The sequence below is a fragment of the Homo sapiens genome, chromosome 16 (genome assembly GCF_000001405.40).
Source record: "Homo sapiens chromosome 16, GRCh38.p14 Primary Assembly".
Classification (NCBI taxonomy): domain Eukaryota; kingdom Metazoa; phylum Chordata; class Mammalia; order Primates; family Hominidae; genus Homo; species Homo sapiens.
In genome coordinates, this window is record NC_000016.10 from 46,655,808 (window position 1) to 46,674,774 (window position 18,967).

General features: G+C 39.9%; 1 protein-coding gene across 3 annotated transcripts in view, besides 1 other annotated feature; it reads right to left on the reverse strand.

Moving 5' to 3' along the window:
* The window catches only part of VPS35 (VPS35 retromer complex component), a 33,047-nt gene continuing 14,404 nt past the window's right edge, over window positions 325-18,967 (reverse strand). For all 3 annotated transcript variants that reach the window (NM_018206.6, XM_011523227.4, XM_005256045.4), the window contains 9 exons: window positions 18,757-18,853; window positions 18,507-18,655; window positions 16,458-16,665; window positions 15,898-16,053; window positions 13,123-13,245; window positions 7,176-7,355; window positions 6,436-6,675; window positions 5,911-6,054; window positions 325-4,844 (listed from right to left, as the gene is read on the reverse strand). In NM_018206.6, coding sequence (NP_060676.2) covers window positions 4,665-4,844; window positions 5,911-6,054; window positions 6,436-6,675; window positions 7,176-7,355; window positions 13,123-13,245; window positions 15,898-16,053; window positions 16,458-16,665; window positions 18,507-18,655; window positions 18,757-18,853 — 1,477 coding nt within the window. In that variant the 3' untranslated portion in view covers window positions 325-4,664. The remainder of the gene's footprint in view (window positions 4,845-5,910; window positions 6,055-6,435; window positions 6,676-7,175; window positions 7,356-13,122; window positions 13,246-15,897; window positions 16,054-16,457; window positions 16,666-18,506; window positions 18,656-18,756; window positions 18,854-18,967) is intronic.
* Window positions 17,680-17,849: a silencer, noted in NCBI's record as "silent region_7430". NCBI's record gives its function as "represses an Ori minimal core promoter by ATAC-STARR-seq in GM12878 lymphoblastoid cells {active_cell/tissue: GM12878}" and the evidence as "EXISTENCE:reporter gene assay evidence [ECO:0000049][PMID:35858748]".

Below are 18,967 nucleotides of genomic sequence, written 5' to 3' on the forward strand. Positions count from 1 at the left end.
TGTGCCTAAACTCCAAAAGCAAGGCGGTACAATAGGGCGAGTCCAATCTCCCTTCTCATCATGGCCAAGAACTTGGTTTTTCAGGTTTCACGGGGGTCTCCTTGGCCAAAAGGGAGTCCATTCAGTCAGCTGGGGGGCTTAAGGTTTTATTTTTAATTGACAGTACTAGTATATGAAAGTATTCCATCACCTTTGTGTATGTAATTAAAGACAAGGCTTGAAAAAACAATGATAGAACCTGATTTCTAAAAATAGATCAGGCGGATTTTACATTTTACTTTTTTTCTTACCCTTCCTCTTTTATTTTTTTTCTTTCTCCCTTCCTGTGAGCGTGCATAGATTTTACATTTTACATTTGCAAAACCATACTAGAAGATACGGCTCCTTTCCAATGCAACGTCTCTGGGTAGGTGGAGGAATGGCTGATCTCCTCTTGTCTTTGCTCTGCACATGGGAAGATAAACTCGTAATGAACATTATCAATCAGTATGCAATTCAATGGACTTTAGTTTTGGGAGCAGACTTGAATTGCAGAACTGAAGTTACAATTGGCACATCCTTGTTTATGGGAGGTCAGCAAAGCATTTGAAACCACCTTTACAAAAATTGTAACTGAGGAAATTATGACAGTGAAAGAGATCAGACCCAAATGACTCCATCTTGCTTCTAACCTTTAAGCTGTCCTTGTTCATTCCTGGGCATAGGTAGAACTAACCTTGGGAAGTAATTTATAGTTTGACTCTCAAACACAATTGATAATACCCCTTTCCCAGCAGTTATGAAGCGTCCAAAGGTTTCCTTGTGTTTCTATTTCTCTAAGTGAAAATGGATTTAAGTCACAGCCTAAGATTTTACTTATTTGAAGACACTACTGATGCAAGCCTGAACACAGCAATGAGTGGTACAATATACAATCTGGCTGGGCAAGGTGGCTCATGCCTGTAATTCCAGCACTTTGGGAGGCTGAGCCAGGTGGATCACAAGGTCAGAAGTTCGTGACCAGCCTGGCCAACATGGTGAAACCCCCATCTGTACTAAAAATACAAAAATTAGCCAGGCATGGTGGTGCACGCCTGTAATCCCAGCTACTCGGGAGGCTGAGGCAGGAGAATTGCTTGAACTGGGGAGGCGGAGGTTGCAGTGAGCCAAGATCGCACCACTGCACTCCTGCTTGGGTGACAGAGCAAGACTCCGTCTCAAAAAAATAAAATATACAGTCCCTCTCCAGAGATTTTGGAAGCATGGACCATTTTGTTGGACAATGCAGGGTGCCCTACTGGAGTAATCAGCAATACAAGACCACAAGCCAGGAAACATTTGTCTTTAATCAAACCTAAGGCAAGTCACTACTCTTGGGAATTCAAGTGTATGGTAAATGTGTAGATACTGGCACCTGAATCAGTGTCTGTTGTCCATGCCTACAGCATCCCCATAGGACAAACCCCAGCAAACAGGAAGGTCTCCTGCACAGATTTCTCTACCTTTCATTTACAATATGCAGTCTGGAATTCCCATTGTCAAAGACAATTCTGTTGGGAAATCCTTTCTGCTTGAGCTTATTACCTTGAGGTCTCTGAATGAGAGAGCAAATGTTAACAGAAGACCCCTCTGGAACCTAGACTTTGTGTTTAAATCCCCTCAGTGCCTGTGGTGGTGCATTTATTCCTTGAGGTCTGTCACATTTCTCAATGCCTTTGAGAGCTGCACACGAACTGTACACAAGTGCTCATCATTCTCCTTCTAGGTGCTCTGGTGCCTGATCAACTCAAACGCCTCTCTCTTTGAGCAGTGTCTATCAGCAGGGGCTGTTTTTGCAGTTCATTAACCTGATGACCACCAATTTCAGGCTTGAGGATGAGTCAGAAACATGAATTTCTAGGCAAAGAAGGGATCATCTGGACTCTAAGAATCACTGGTTTCCTGGGTAGAGGCAGGAAAGGGAGGGTAGGAAAGTCTAACACGGCAGGCATCTCTCATCCAGTCACAGCATCTTCCTAGATGTGTCCCCCCAAACTATCCCCTAGTCTTGGAATTTAATGCCATTCAGCACCAAGCCTGCCCTGGTTCAGCGTTTCCATCCACCTGTGAGGGATTCCCCACCACACCCCAATTAAGGACAGGTACTTTTTTGTAAGACACAATAAAAATTACTAAAAAAGGAGAACAGGGAATAGCAGACACACAAAGCACAAAGCCAAATATTTATTACATCCAATAGACATAAAATTACTCTGTCAAATTGCTATAAAGGGTTTTAAATGCTAAGTCAATTTCTAAATATCTATTTCACTACAGGCAGCCAAGAGTATAACTTGCTTCAGCCCATGGGTCTGAGGAGCCTGGGACTGCAGGCCAAAGCACTGGCCTCAGAAGGCTAAATAAACTATTGGACTTGATGTTCCATGAGAATTCATACAACCCTCTGCAGAACTTCCCCATCCCCAATCCCTCAAAGCTCTTCTTCACTGCTCTCCTGCACAAACCCTTACCATCTTCTGTAACTACAGGTCTGTCTTCACAGCAGACTAACGTTCTTGAAGCTAGAGGCTATGATCTTCTTCACCTTTAGATTCAGTGCCTAACTATATCTGGTACCCAGTTTTTGTTCAACAAAAAAAATCTGTAAGTTAAGGATACTAGCAGTGCTTTTGTTTCACTTTTATTTACTTTTGTTGGTTTATTATTTTTAAAATTGGGTTTACCTCAACCCAGAAAATAAGAGATAATTTACACACTGTACTGACATTACCTTACTTGCAAACCAAGCTCTCCAACTCAAGTGTTCTTGACTCATGTCTTTTCTACTATTCCAGTTGTATTTCACAAAACATGTAAATAATATGGACATGTCAAGCCATAATCAGGTTTATACGGGGTAAACTAACACCTACAAAGAACAGAAAGGGTTTGCTGGACTATGACATACCACAGAATGGCTTAACATTTGATACATTTTAGTGGTACTAATTTTATAACTTTGGGAAACATCTGTTCATGTAAAGCCCAGCAAGGGCTAGTCATCAAGTGCTAGCAATGGGAGGGCAGATGGTGAGGGGTTAAGTGATGTAGTCATTTGAAAATGTCTATAAATTTTCCCTTTAAGAGGTGGAGCTTAATTCTCCTTACCCTTGAATATAGGCTAGACTTAGTGACTCCCCACTTACAGAATAAGGCAAAAATGAGCATGTCACTTCCACAGGGAGGCCACTGAAAGGCACTGTGGTTTCCTTCTTGCTTTCATACTCAGGGGAAAGCCAGCCACCATGCTGTGAGGACACTCTATGGAAGGGCCGTCAAGGAGAGGAACTGGGGCCTCTGCCCTCAAGGAAAGGAACTTAGGCCTCTGCCCTCAAGGAGAGGAACTGGGGCCTCTGCCCTCAAGAAGAGGAACTGGGGCCTCTGCCTAACAGCCAGGTCAGTGAGCAGAAAAGTCAGCCCCAGTCAAAGCATCAGATGACTGCAGCCCCAACCAGTATCTTGTTTGCAACCTTACACCACACTCTTTGCCAGAACCACCAGCTAAGCTGCTCCCAAATTCCTGATCCAGAGACCTGTGAGATAAATGTTTGCTGTTTTAAGACAGTAAGTTTTGGGATGGTTTATTATATAGTAGGTAACTAGTATCGGTGGTGAGCCTTTGGGGGGTTTATGTGAATTCATCATGCCTTGGGAAAAGCAGGGTAAAGTTGAGGAAAGAAAAGGGGTATAAATGACTAAAAGAGTAGATGCTGCCTTGTTCAACAAGTGCTTAAAACTAGAGTTAAGTGAGCTCTGTGAATATATGAGAATGACTATTAAACTCTATAGCCATACTACTAGTACTTTTTATCAATTAAAGATAGTATGAAAGGGGAAAAAAAGCTCCAAAATTGTTAATAGCATCTTTATTGTTTCACTGGTGCAAAAAAAAAAATCATAATTGTGATGCATTTCCTGCTAAATTTACAATGAAGGTGATACATAAATTATATAGATCACAAGTTTTCTTTTATACTATTTAAAACCCAATTATATTGATAAATATGTCCAGAGGACAACATGGGTTCTTAATGGATGGCTGAGTCCAAATATGCAAAATATAGCTTCTGGTTTTGACCATGGTGCTTTAAAATTCTCAAACATGCATTAATATATTCTAGTTTTAGGGAAAATCTTACACATGGCCTTATCTTGCAATTTAGGGGAAAGCCCAAGATGAATTTCACATACAGTATTCCTTTCTTCTAAATTAATCTCAAACTGGACTAGAAAACAAGAGACAGACGCTTTTGGGTTAGTACTCCCCAGGAATGAAGAAAATACACAATCAACAATGAAGCAAACAAACAAACAAAAAAAAGGAGAGCTTCATTAGTAGCCAAGATAAGTGCTTGTGGGTTTTGTGTTTTTTTTTTTTTTTTTTTTTACAGATCACAGGAATTTTAAATTGCAGATCAGTCATGCTACTTGGGGTGATCAGAAAGACTTGAACACTTACCAAGTGAATAATTTTATTAAGGTCCTGAAGGTGAGTGTCCGGAGGTGCTGGGTAAAACACATCACAGGTAAGAAATGGGAAACCTACCTCAGCATTTCTGAAAGGCACAATCTATGGAAGGGAAACCTAGCGTAATAAAACCCTCACTGGATGTACATGGAAAGGAGTATGGTGAGCTATTTCCTTTTTAAAGGATGAGACCTTCATAAATTGGCCCCTCGGATTCTGGTGATTCCCGCCGCAAGCGCAAATGCTCCAGTGTGTTATGAAAATGTTTGTTAATCTGCTCTGTTTCTTCACTGGATTCAAGATTCGGGAGGTCTTCTCGAATCTTTTGGATAAGCTGGTTTAAAACCTGAATTGTTACCTACAAAAGAATATGTACAAATTCATGATCAAGCACGTACCACAAAAAATGAAAGGCAATTTAATAAAACTGTTTTGAGGAGCTTCTGTTACACTCATCAATTACCTGAGTAATTATGAAAAAAGAAAGATGGGGATACAATTCCTAGTTTGAACAATTACTGACTATCAAAAAAAAAAAAAAAAAAACAACCCTTTAAAACAAGCAAAATTGGCTCGGCTCAGTGGCTCATCCCTGTACTCCCAGCACTTTGGGAGGCTGAGGTGGGCAGATCACTTGAAGTCAGGAGTTTTGAGACCAGCCTGGCCAACATGGTGGAACCCCATCTCTAGTAATAATACAAAAATTAGCTGGGCGTGGTGCCGGGCGCCTATAATACCAGCTATTCAGGAGGCTGAGGCATGAGAATTGCTTGAACCTGGGAGGCAGAGGTTGCAATGAGCTGAGATTGCCACTGCACTCCAGCCTGGGTGACAGAGCCAGACTCTGTCAAAAAAAGAAAAACAAGCAAAATTTTATTTAACTTACAAATCTTGACCAAAACTGTATTGCTAAAAGGATACTGCGTTTAGGAATTATTATTATTATTATTTTTGAGACGGAGTTTCACTCTTGTTGCCCAGGCAGGAGTGCAATGGCACAGTCTTGGCTCACTGCAGCCTCCACCTCCCAGGTTCAAGCGATTCTCCTGCCTTAGGCTTCCAAGTAGCTGGGATTACAGGCGCCTGCCACCACGCCTAGCTAATTTTTGTATTTTTAGTAGAGATGGGGTTTCACAATGTTGGCCAGGCTGGTTTCAAACTCCTGACCTCAGGTGATCTGCCTGCCTCAGCCTCCCAAAGTGCTGGGATTACAGGCATGAGCCACCACGCCCAGCCTAGGAATTATCTTAAACTAGAACATTATGACAAATTAGCCTATTATTTGACATCTGTAAATTATTTTACATTTTTCAAATGAACAGTGATTAAAGTATCAGAATGATAAACTTTTGTACATATCAAATCTCCTAAGAGTAGGAAGGGAAAATATTAGTTTATTAACAACACTTTACTAATTCACTTACCGCATCATTTTCCTTTTCATAAAAATAGATATATCTGTTCAGAATTTCTATAAAAAGCTGCACTTGTAGAGAGGGGTCCATGCACTGATTTGCTATTTTTAGAGCTTTTTTTAGGCACTCCATTACCCTCTTGCCTCCGTGAAGCTAAAATAAAAGGGCAGGGGGACAGTGAAGAGATTAATGAAACATCTCGTTTTCATACAAAGAAACACAACACTACCGTGGCTCTTTCGTGTTTTAAAGGGACATAACAAATTTAAATCCTTTTCATTCTCCTTCTTCTTGTTTTGAAGTATACAGCTGTATTTTTTTAAAAACAGGTAGTGGTTTGAACTTGCTATGTTACAATATCCTCAAAGCAGAGGCTTCACTACAGGATGAGACTCTCTTTTTTAACAAAACAAAGCAATTTTGTTCATCAGATTTCCAAGCACCCCAAATGTTTCACCTCCAGAACACAAGGCCATGACAACTGATCCCTGTTATGGATCCTGTCTGCTATCATGCAGTCAGGAATGACCTTACCTCCTCCCCATTTTTGTCCGTGTTTCTGCCAGACCAGAAGAGATGTGCACAGGTGCTCACAGCTCGGCCCTGATCAGGTTTCTTTAGAAGTTTGGATGCAGCAAGGGCACACTGAGTCCTCAGAGGTTCGTGATTCTCTTCACTGAAGCACTTCATCCTTTCAAAAGTGCCAATGATCAAGGTGATGGCAGCTAGCTGTGCTTTGGAATCGCTGATTTCATCTTCATACAGAGAAAATGCCTAGTGAACATAAAGCAGAAAGGACTTTCAAGGACCAACCATCCTCTAGTTGAGCATTTTCCAAAGTACTTGTCACCAAACCTCCATCCTGTGAGACTTCTGCAGCCTTCATATCAGAACATGCTGCACCCTCTCTTGAGAGCCACAGGACACAACTGAGATGGTAAAAACGCTAAAAAGTTGCAATAAAGAAACTTCTTTCAACTTTGTTTAACCCAGGGTTCCCAAACTGGATTTTGGGAATTGAGTGCATTTCCCGAATTTTATGTTCCATGAAACATTTTTACCATGACCCACTTGGAAATCTTAGATTTCATCAGCAAATGATCAACACCAGTCAATTACAACAATAATATTAACAGGTTCCATGATGGTGGGAAGGTGGTAGTTACACATTCAGTAAAAGAAGAGTAAATTCATGTGCATTACCACCATGCCTGCAAACAAGCAACTGAACCCAGCAGAGCTGACATGACAACGCAGAAAGAACAGATCATCACCTGGGACATGAATTCATATGCGACTGTCTCATGATTTTCAAAACCAATTTCCCCAGCAGCTAGTGCTCCTTGAAGAAAAAGTCTTAAGGGCAATTCTGCCAGCTCTGCTTTGATCAAAGCACTGATAGTCTGGTGGGCAAATGAAAAAATCTTCTGGCATTTCTTTTCCCATTTGTCATCCTAAAACAAGAAAAAACATTTTAAGTTACCTTAAATTCAAAATTAACTTGTTCCAGGATATCCATTTTAATAGAACAAAATACTGTAAGTTGTGTGCACAGTTTTCCTGTCATTTTCCTTCTCTGTTTCAGTTATAGGGCAAACAAGTAAATCAAGCAGGATGTCTTCTCAAAACATCATTTGAGGTTAAATTGCCTTTGCAATGTTAATGTATTTGGTATTTGTTTTTTCTTTTTGAGACAGAGTTTTGCTCTTGTTGCCCAGGCTGGAGTGCAGTGGCACAATCTTGGCTCACTGCAACCTCCGTCTCCTGGATTCAAGTGATTCTCCTGCCTCAGCCTCCCGAGTAGCTGGGATTACAGGTGCCCACCACCACACCCAGCTAATTTTGTATTTTTAGTAGGGGCGGGGTTTCACCAAGTGGGGCGGGGTTTCACCAAGTTGGCCAGGCTGGTAACTCCTGACCTCAAGTGATCTGCCCGCCTCAGCCTCCCAAAGTGCTGGGATCACAGGCGTGAGCCACTGCACTCAACCTGTTTTTTCTTTCCTTTTTTTTTTTTCAACAGCTCTGTTACCCAGCTGGAGTGCAGTGGTGTGATCACAGCTCATTGCAGCCTTGAACTCCTGGGTTCAAGTGATGCTCCCACCTCAGACTCCCGAATAGCTAGGACTACAGGCTTGCATCACCACACCTGGCTAATTTTTTTTTTTTTTTTTTTTTTTTTTTTTGTAGAGACAGGGTCTCATTCTGTTGCCCAGGCTGATCTTGAACTACTGGCCCCGAGCAAACCTCCCGCCTCAGCCTCCCAAAGTGTTGGGATTACAGGCATGAGCCATCACACCTGGCTGATAATTGTTTTTTCTGATTTGTAAGTTACATTCCCAAATTGGAGAAAATTAGAAAAATACACAAAATCATCCACACATCATCCCTAAATCTACCACCCACGGATAATCACTGGTAACATTCGGATGCTAAATGTCTTCCTTTCTTTTTTTCTATGTAACTGTAATATAACTGGCATTTTTGTGTGTGGTTTTCTTTTTTCTCTTTGGTGCGATCTCGGCTCACTGCCACCTCTGCCTCTTGGGTTCAAACCATTCTTCTGCCTCAGCCTCCTGAGTAGCTGGGATTACAAGCGCGCCACCACGCCCTGCTATTTTTTGTATTTTTAGTAGAGAAGGGGTTTCACCTTATCGGCCAGGCTAGTCTTGAACTGCTGACCTCAAGTGATCCACCCATCTCAGCCTCCCAAAGTGCTAGGATTACTGGCGTGAGCCACTGCATCTAGACCTTATTTTCTTGAGAGTTAAAATCGATTCACACTTCAAGTAATTTGTATCTAATTTTTCTTTTCTTTTCTTTTTTTTTTTTTGAGAAGTAGTTTCCCTCTTGTTGCCCAGGCTGGAGTGCAATGGCATGATCTCAGCTCGCCACAACCTCCGCCTCCCAGGTTCAAGTGATTCTCCTGCCTCAGCCTACCGAATAGCTGGGATTACAGGCATGCGCCACCACACCCAGCTAATTTTGTATTTTTAGTAGAGACGGGGTTTCTCCATATTGGTCAGGCTGGTCTCAAACTCCCGACCTCAGGTGATCCGCCTGCCTCAGCCTCCCAAAGTGCTAGGATTACAGGCGTGAGCCACTGCACCCAGCTCTAATTTTTCCTATTTTGTCCTAACAATCTTCCCGATACTAATTCGAAATCATTTTAATGACTAGAAAATATTATGGAGACTGGCTATGGCATAATTTATTGAACTATTCCCTTTTAGACATAATCTGTAATATTACAATGAATGTTCTATATACACTAAGCTTTATTGAGACCCTAATTATTCCCTTAGTATAAATTCTTGGAATTCCACTTGGAAGTAAAATTATTGAATATTTTAACACCCTACTTACACACCGCCAACTTCCTAGAAGTATTATAGTAATTCACACTGCCAACATTAGATGAGAATGAATTTTCATCACACCATCGCCATTGCTGAACCTTATTTTTCATTTCTCTTTGCCAATTTGATTTCTTAAAAGGTTCGCTGTTGTAATTACAAGCGAGGTTAAATATTTTATCATGATTGACTATCCAAATTTCTTCTTGTTAAAGCAATCAGTTCTTTTCATTTTTAAAAGATGGCGACAGGCTGGGCATGGTGGCTCATGCCTGTAATCCCAACACTTAGGGAGGCCAAGGAGGCAGGAGGATCGCTTGAGCCCAAGAGTTTCAGACCAGCCTAGGCAACATGGTGAGACTCTGTCTCTACAAAAAATAAAAAATTAGCCAGTGTGGTGGCACATGCTTGCAGTCCCAGCTACTCAGGAGGCTGAAATGGAAGGATCGCTTGAGCCTAAGAGTTCGAAGCTGCAGTGAGCCGTAATCATACCACTGTATCCCAGTCTGGGCAACAAAGACCTTGACTCAAAAAAAAAAAAAAAAGTGACAGTGGCAGTCATAGACCTTGGCACAGTGGGTGACAACACAGTAAGAAATGCTAGTAAATAAGTAAAGGCTAGTTACTTTTATTTATTTGCCCTAAATCGTTTTGATCCCCAGAATTTTTTTATCTTATAACTGAAAGTTTGTATTCTTTGGCAACTACTGTTCTAGTCTTTGCTTACACAAGTTCAACCATTTTTTAGTGACTGGGTCTCCCTCTGTCACCCAGGCTGGAGCGCAAAAGCACAATCATAACTCACTGCAGCCTCCAACTCCTGGGCTCAAGCTGTCCTCCTGCCCTAGCCTCTTTTTTTTGAGACAGAGTCTCACTTTGTCACCCAGGCTGGAGTGCAGTGGCGCGATCTCAGCTTACTGCAACCTCTGCCTCCCGGGTTCAAGTGATTCTCCTGCCTCAGCTTCCCAAGTAGCTGGGATTACAGGCATGTGCCCTCACACCTGGCTAATTTTTGTATTTTTAGTAGAGACAGGGTTTCACCATGTTGGCCAGGCTGGTCTCAAACTCCTGATCCCAAATGATCCACCCACCTTGGCCTCCCAAAGTGCTAGGATGACAGGTGTGAGCCACCACACCCAGCCCTGCCCTAGCCTCTTGAGTAGCTAGGACTATAGGCATGTACCACCACGCCTGGCTAATTTTTTAATTTTTTTTTTTTTTTTTTAGACGGAGTTTCACTCTTGTTGCCCAGGCTGAAGTGCAATGGCACGATCTCGGCTCACCACAACCTCTGCGTCCCGGGTTCAAGTGATTCTCCTGCCTCAGACTCCCGAGTAGCTGGGACTACAGGCATGCGCCACCACGCCCAGCTAATTTTGTATTTTCAGTAGAGACGGGGTTTCTCCATGTTGGTCAGGCTGTTCTCAAACTCCCGACCTCAGGTGAACCGCCTGCTTCGGCCTCCCAAAGTGCTGCGATTACAGGCGTGAGCCCCCACACCTGGCCTTTTTATTTTTTAATAGAGATTGGGTCTTGCTATATTACCCAGGCTGGATGAATTCAACTTAAAAAACAATTCTACATATAAATGAAGTCATATAGTATTTGCCTTTCTGTGTTTGGCTTATTTCACTTAGAACAATGTCCTCCAGATTAATCCCTGTTGTCATAAATGGCAAGATTTTCTTCATTTCTATAGCTGAGTATTATTCTACTATGTAGAGAATATGTGCGTACATACATATACACACATATATACGTATATACACACACATATATACACAACACAATTTCTTTACTCATCTATCGATGGACACTAAGGTTGTTTCCATATCTCAGCCATTGTGAATAATGCTGCAATAAACATGGGAGTGCAGATATCTCTTTGAGATACTGATTTCCTTTCCTTTGAATGCATAACTAGATGTGGGACTGCAGGGTCACATGGTAGTTCTAGTTTCAGTTTTTTGAGGAACCTCCATACTGTTTTCCATAATGGCTATACTAATTTATATTCCCACCAATAATAAACAGGGTTCCCATTTCTCTACATCCTTGCCAACACTTGATTTTCTGTTTTTTTGATAACAGTTATTCTGACAGATGTGAGGTGACATCTCATAGTGGTTTTGATTTACATTTTCCTGATAAATGATGTTGAACATCTGTTCATATACCAGTTGGCCACCTGTATGTCTTCTTTGGAAAAATGTCTATTCAGATCCTTTGCTCATTTTTAAATCAAGTTATTCATTTGCTTGCTATTGAGTTGCATTCCATATATATTTTAGATATTGACCACTTTTCAGATGTATAGTTTGCAAATATTCTCCCCCATTCCATTGCCTGTCTCTTCACTCTGCTGATTGTTTCCTTTGTTGTACAGAAGGTTTTTAGTTTATTAAACTTATTTTTGCTTATTTTTTGCTTATTTTAAACTTATTTTTGCTTATTTTAAGCTTATTTTAAACTTATTTTTTGCTTATTTTTAAACTTATTTTTGCTTTAGTTGCATAGGTTTTTGGTTTCATATCCAAAAAATCATTGACCAATGACAAGGAGGTTTTTCCCTATGTTTTCTTCTAGGAGCTTTATGGTTTCAGGTCTTTAATCCATTTTGAGTTCATTATTATATATGGCATAAGATGAGAGTCCAAATGCGTTCTTTTGCATGTGGATATCCAACTTTCCCAATACTATTTATTGAAGAGACCATTCTTTTCCCCTTTGTGTATTCTTGGTGTCCTTATCAAAGATTAGTTTATTGCATATGTGTGGGTTTATTTCTAGACTCTCTATTCTGTTCCATTGGTCTATGTGTCTGTTTTTATGCCAGTACCATATTACCATACTGCTTTAATTACTATGGCTTTGTAATGTAGGCTGGTTGCTATTTTTATTGTTATATTCACAAATTCCTATCCATAAACGCTGGTAAAGAGTGAATGATAAGCTGGCCTAATAAAAATTGGCCAAAAGCTGCTGTTTCATGCTGGTAGGTCTACTGCATACATCTTTTTTCTCTATTACGAGAAAATCAAGTCCATACTGAGGCCAGATGCAGTGGTTCACACCTACAATCCTAGCACTTTGAGAGGCTGAGGCAGCAGGATCACCTGAGGCCACAAGTTCGAGACCAACTGGTCAACATGGCAAGACCCTGTCTCTACTAAAAATACAAAAATTAGCTGGGCATGGTGGTGCACACCTGTAATCCCAGCTACTTAGGAGGCTGACACACAAGAATCGCTTGAACCCAGGAGTTGGAGGTTGCAGTGAGCTAAGACTGCGCCACTGTACTCCAGCCCGGGCGACAGAATGAGACCCTATCTCAAAACAAACAAACAAACAAAATTAAGTTACTGAGGTTGTTCCTTAACATTAACCTGAATGTCCAACTTTCAGGTACGTGAGCTTGAGGTATTTTCTTCAAAACTACACTGTGAAGACTCAAGCCATGGTTCCATTTTGAGGAAGAAAAAAGCTCATAAAAAGTTGCCCACAACTCATATTATTCAATGATATGCCTTTAGAGAGAAACGACTGCAATGCTAGGCCCTCTCCTTAGGTTTTAAAGCTAACCTGAATTAGAACTTAGGAAAGAGTTTCAGCATAAATTCACACTGCTTTAATCTTGCATTTCTAAGTGCTTTTTACGTGATCCCTCAGTATGTGATCCACCACCATCACCGTTAGGAACACTTAGCACAGGATAAGTAACAAATAGAGAGTTGGCGAAAATGGGATTTTATTATACCACTGTCTATTTTTGTACGTTTGAAATTTTTTATAATATAAAACAAACACACACACACTCAGAGTGATGAAAGAGGAAAAAAAGTACCTAAATACTTAAAAGTAAACTCACCACTTTAGAATTCTCTTTATATCGAAAAGCCAGCTGGTAAGCTGCAAATACCAAAGGTGGCAGTGTGAAGCGAATCCGCTGATTTCCACCAGCTCCAAAATGTTTTCGTGCTGTGTTCAAAATCTGACCCAAAAGCATTAAAGAAAAAAAAATTTCCAAACTCTGATTAATCATTTGTGAAATAAATGTGGGCTCTAATCATCATTGCTAACATTTTGTGAATATATACAATGTACCATACTTTATGGTAGGCAATTTACATATTTCTTATCTCCTCAAGTTGTCACAACAACCCAGAGACAGATACTATTCCATTTCACAAATGGGGAAGCCTGAGTTTCAGAGAGGTTGTATAACCTGCCCAAGGTAGCGAGTTAGAAGCAAAGATATATTTAAATATATTTTCATACACACATGTGCAAAGTATGCTGCACTGATAAAGAATGTAGGCTCTGGCCAGGTGTGGTGACTCATGTCTGTAATCCCAGCACTTTGGGAGGCCGAAGGTGGACAGATCAGTTGAGGTCAGGAGTTCGAGACCAGCCTGGCCAACATAGGGAAACCCTGTATCTACTAAAAATACAAAAATTAGCTGGGCATGGTGGCGCACACCCGTAATCTCAGCTACTGAGGAGGCTGAGGCAGGAGAATTGCTTGAACCCAGGAGATGGAGGTTGCAGTAAGCTGGGATCATGCCACTGCACTCCAGCCTGGGTGACAGAGCAAGATTCCATCTCAAAAAAAAAAAAAAAGAAAAAAGAAAAGAGAAAAAAAGAAGGCTGTGAAGATACTCAGAGACTCACATTTAAAAGCAGATGCTAATACTTATTACATGTGTGGCCTTGGGCAAATTATTTACCTTCTCTTAGCCACAAGTTTCTATAAACTCCTAGGGTTGTTGGGAAGATCAAGTGACACATGTGAAGGCTTACCACTACTTAGCACAAGGCATAAGCTCAGTAATATTAACTATTACTATGATACACAACAACTATATGCATATTACTGGTACATCATACCTCCTCATTCAAAAAAATTTTAAGACCATTTAAGTCAAGGAAAATGCTAACATACTTTAAAAGAGCTACTTGTGAAATATTCCATGAATTCTGTGTTTTTCTTGGATTTTTTTTTCTGAAATGGCACAACATATAGCCAATTCAGAAAAATTACAAGAAAAACACAGAGTTTATAAAATATTTTTAGTATATGTGACACAATGGCATTCAGGTTTTGTGAAATTCCTGATATGGTAGATGAATAAGAGAATGCATTTCCCCTAGGGGCAGTCAGAGCTAATGACCCTATCATTAAAGATCTCCATACATGGGAATAACCAATCAGCCACATGCAGAAGGCATAATTTTTTTTGAGACGGAGTTTCACTCTTGTTGCCCAGGCTGGAGTGCAATGGCATGATATCCACTCACTGCAACCTCCACCTCCCAGGTTCAAGTGATTCTCCTGCCTCAGTCTCCTGAGCAGCTAGGATTACAGGCGCCCACCACCACGCCCAGCTAATTTTTTGCATTTTTAGTAGAGATGGGGTTTCACCATGTTGGCCATGCTGATCCTGAACTCCTGACCTCAGGTGATCCATCCACCTCAGCCTCTCAAAGTGCCAGGATTATAGATGCGAGCCACCATGCCCCGCCGGAAGGAATAGTTTCTAACTACTATATTTGGTAGGCAATAGAAAATGAAAACACACAGATACAAACAATCTCACACAGAAACATAAGGCAATCAGTTAAAATACTTAAGACAGTCACTCTGTACAGATCACATAGCTCACAGAGCACAATACCACAGTCCTGGAATGTTTGTCACTAAACCAAGACAAAGACCATCACACTATCAACAGAAGTCAGCCTCTTATTTCACACTGATTATGAAGTACAGGTGTGTCAACTACAATGAAGAAAGTCAACAGAAAGGGATGAGACAGTCAGGACATCCTCAAGCAAATGTCTTTTTCATCATAGCAGCCTAATAGCCTTATGCATCCAAGAATGGTTAAACTACTTTGCCCAAACAATAATTAAGCAGCCAACTGTGCTAACCCTTCACTAAAATAAACTATCTATCTAGTATCGGTCACTGATACACCTACTCAGGCAACATGTTTTATCCATTTCACAATGATTCCCTGTGGACTAATAATAAAGAGAGAACCTCATGTGATTGTTCTTTATCAGAAAAAAAAAAGTTAAGAAAAAGGCAAAATGAATTTTTAAATCTTTCATCAAAAAACAAAAACTCACATTTTCAATATGACAAATATAATTTATACTTGCAAATTTGGAAAAGTAAAATTAAATATAAGAATTGTATTTCTTATAAAGTTTATTATAAGCAATACATAGTTCAGAAAAAATGAACATGGAATAATTATCGGCACTCAAGCAAAAGAAGACAGACTTTTTTGTAATTCTCAGAGAGTCTTCAAAAGAAATCAGAGCAACTGAATTGTTACTCACATGCTCCAGAAGTTTACAAACAATTATGTGTTTATATATAAAGTAAAAGCCCATGGATGCCATGAATCTTTTTTTTTTTCGAGATGGAGTCTCGCTGTGTTGCCCAGGCTGGAGTGCAGTGGCACAATCTCGGCTCACTACAACCTCCGCCTCCCAGGTTCAAGTGAATCTTTAATTCAGTTGCAATTCCTTCAAAACCATCTAAGACCAGAAAGTGAATTAAACCATTTTAAGCACTTGAACATGTGATTTCACTAGGAGCTGATACAGGGATATACTAAGGGTAAACTCATACCAAGTACTGCTGGTCAGGGTCCTCAGAGCGCAGCAGATGAATGAAGCGGCCCACAAGGCTCTGCTCATCAGCAAAATCTTCTGGATCAGGGTCTTCTACAGGTTGATCTGGCTGATCTTGAATCAACGTGGATACCAAATTCATTATGGAATCCACCTGTAACATGCGAGGCACAAGAAACCCACTGAGGTGAAACCATTGGCATACAAAGCCATTATCAAAAGTGTTTCCAGTTATAAAATTACAATACAGTATCAACAAGATATTCCTTTTTTTGGTGAGAAAGTCGATACACATGTATGTCATACACACATATACAGACAAAAGTCTGGAAAGATATGCACCAAATGTTAATTAACAGTGGTTATTCTCTATCTGGTGGAATTATAAATGTTTTATAATTCTTTATACATCTCCAATTTTTAATTTATATAATGAAAAAGTTACTTGTAAATTTTATTTAGTATTGAATTACCCTCCCCTCCCATCTCAGGTATCTAGGTCCAAAGTCTAAAATTGTAACACTGTTTCCCTAAAATAGCACGTAGGTATTCTCTTACCTGGTCTTGAGAGACAATTTCTGTGTTATAATCCAGAACATTACTAAGCACATAACAACTCATGCTCTTTCTGGACTCGTAGTCAAAGTACTCAAAGAGTGGGTGAAAATGTTTTAATTTCAAGACTGTTAAAATATTGTTGTAAGTGTCAACTGGTATTTTCAAAAGTCTGGTGAGTTCCTTTGAAACTGCACTACTGGTAGCAATACTACAAAAAGAAAAACAGAAGTCTTAATGAATAAAATTAACTTTCTATATACACAAATAGCATTTGTTCCATAAGAATTTGAAATTTTTCATTACACATTAAAGGAAATGGGTCAAGTGAATCATACCACCACAGAAGACTATAACAACCTCCTTTCAGGAGGATAAAAATGCTTATCTAAACACAAATATATATTCATCTATTATTTTTCTGTTGATACAAAACTAGATACAGTTTCCAACTCATGAACAGATGGTATAGCTGGAGTTAAGATGACTGTCTAGAATTTGATGACATTTCTAAGGGAAGTATTTTAAGTGGTAGTTTGGTTCCCAGGGGCCAGCCAACAAGTATTGTATATTCATGATGAAAATAAATAGGAAAAAAACTCCATGCAAAACCAGCAATTTGACACAACAGAAAAACACATAAACTATTTCTTCTGCATCAGATGTTGGTGATTAAGGAAAAGCAGGCTGACTGACTTTTACGTAGTTGTTAGTAAAATCATTCTGTAGATATTGAGGCATATTGGGGCATTTATTACAACCTCTTTAGAGGTTGTTATTTCTAATTACTTTGTCTATTTTTACTTTAAAATTCACTTGGGGAGAAAGACACAGATACATCATTTAGTTTTTTTAATTTAAATTTTTTTTATTTTTAATTTTATTTTTTATTAGAGACGGGGTCTCGCTATGTTGCCCAGGCTGTTCTCAAACTCATGGACTCAAGTGATTCTCCCAATTCAGCCTCCTGAATAGCTGGGATTACAGGTGCAAGCCACCACACCTGGCACATCATTTAATTTTCTCTCACACTTATCATTCCACATCTGGACTTGTTTTCAGTTTGCACACACACAAAACCAAAAATGACCAAAAGAACAAGGGTAACACAAAGGGAGGAAAAAAAGAAGAAATTTTCTTGATGCAGGTAAACCACTGGAAGGGAGATAGAAAGGAGGAAGATTACATGAGGTAAAATTCTGAAGAATATGTTGGCGGGAGGCAGGCCTGGCTTGACCCAAGCCAGAGCAGTGGGGAACAGGGCAGGAAGGGAACTGCTGGGGAAGGTAACAGGATCATAGCTGCCCATAGTGGCCACTAGAGGACGCCATAAGTCTAGGACAGAACAGCTGAGGAGGCTTCAGGTTGGAAATAGTACTGTTGATATTTCCTTTAAGGTATCAAAATCAAAGCTCAAAATAGAAAAGATATTTAAACCAATTTAATTCTGCACCTTAAATATACATAGCCCCTCATTTTTCACCATGTGCTGATTCGTAGGAAAACACCACTTATGGAAATAAATACTGCCTGACAAAGTTTCCTTACCAGTTTAAGAACAAACTCAGTCACATGCAAGCTTGTCCAACCCAAAGCCCACAGGCCGCATGCAGCCCAGGATGGCTTTGAATGCGGCCCAACACAAATTCGTAAACTTTCTTAAAACATTATGAGTTTTTTTGGGATTTTTTTTTTAAGCTCATCAGCTATTGTTAGTGTTAGTGTATTTTATGTGTGGCCCAAGAAAATGCTTCTTCCAGTGCAGCCCAGGGAAGCCAAAAGATTGGATGCCCCTGACACACAGAAAGGGATCCAAATTGGAGACACTGGTCCCTGAAGACTGCCTATGGTCCATAGGTACCACAATTTCCTTAATATAAAAAAACAAGTAATTGGTCACTACTTTCTGCCCCTAGTAGTGCTAAGCATGACAATCTTAATGCATGATTAAAACAAGACAAATGCCAGCAGTTCAAAAAACAATTGAGAAAGAAAAGCAAATCTAGGACAAAAATATCTTTGAGGATTTTTACAAAAATGTAACTGACTTACTGTTCAAGGTTGAGCTTATTGAATATCTCCACTGTTGTTTCTAGAACTTTATCAACATAGTCCACACGATCAGGGTAACATTTCATGGCAAGATTAATCAGAGAGACTTGTAAAGATACAACATCCTCTGAAGGCATGTCTTGTCTAGACTGGAATGTTTAGAAAACCACACAATTTATTTTAAACAATTGTAAAAGGAAGGCAGAGAAGTTTCAAAGTTTTGAGAACTTAGGAGAAATGCTACACAAACCTGTATCACTGTAGCCACCTGCTGTGAAAATATATCAAAAAGTTTAATATCCGCTGGGATTCCAGGTCCATCTTCACGGTGAGCAAATAAAGCTAATCTAAAAAAAAAAAAAACACCCCTTTATTTTAAAAGATACAGGGTTTGGGTAGTGAGATCATGGATGACATCTTATTCTTTATTGCTTTTCTATATTTTGTATGAGCCCAAAAGG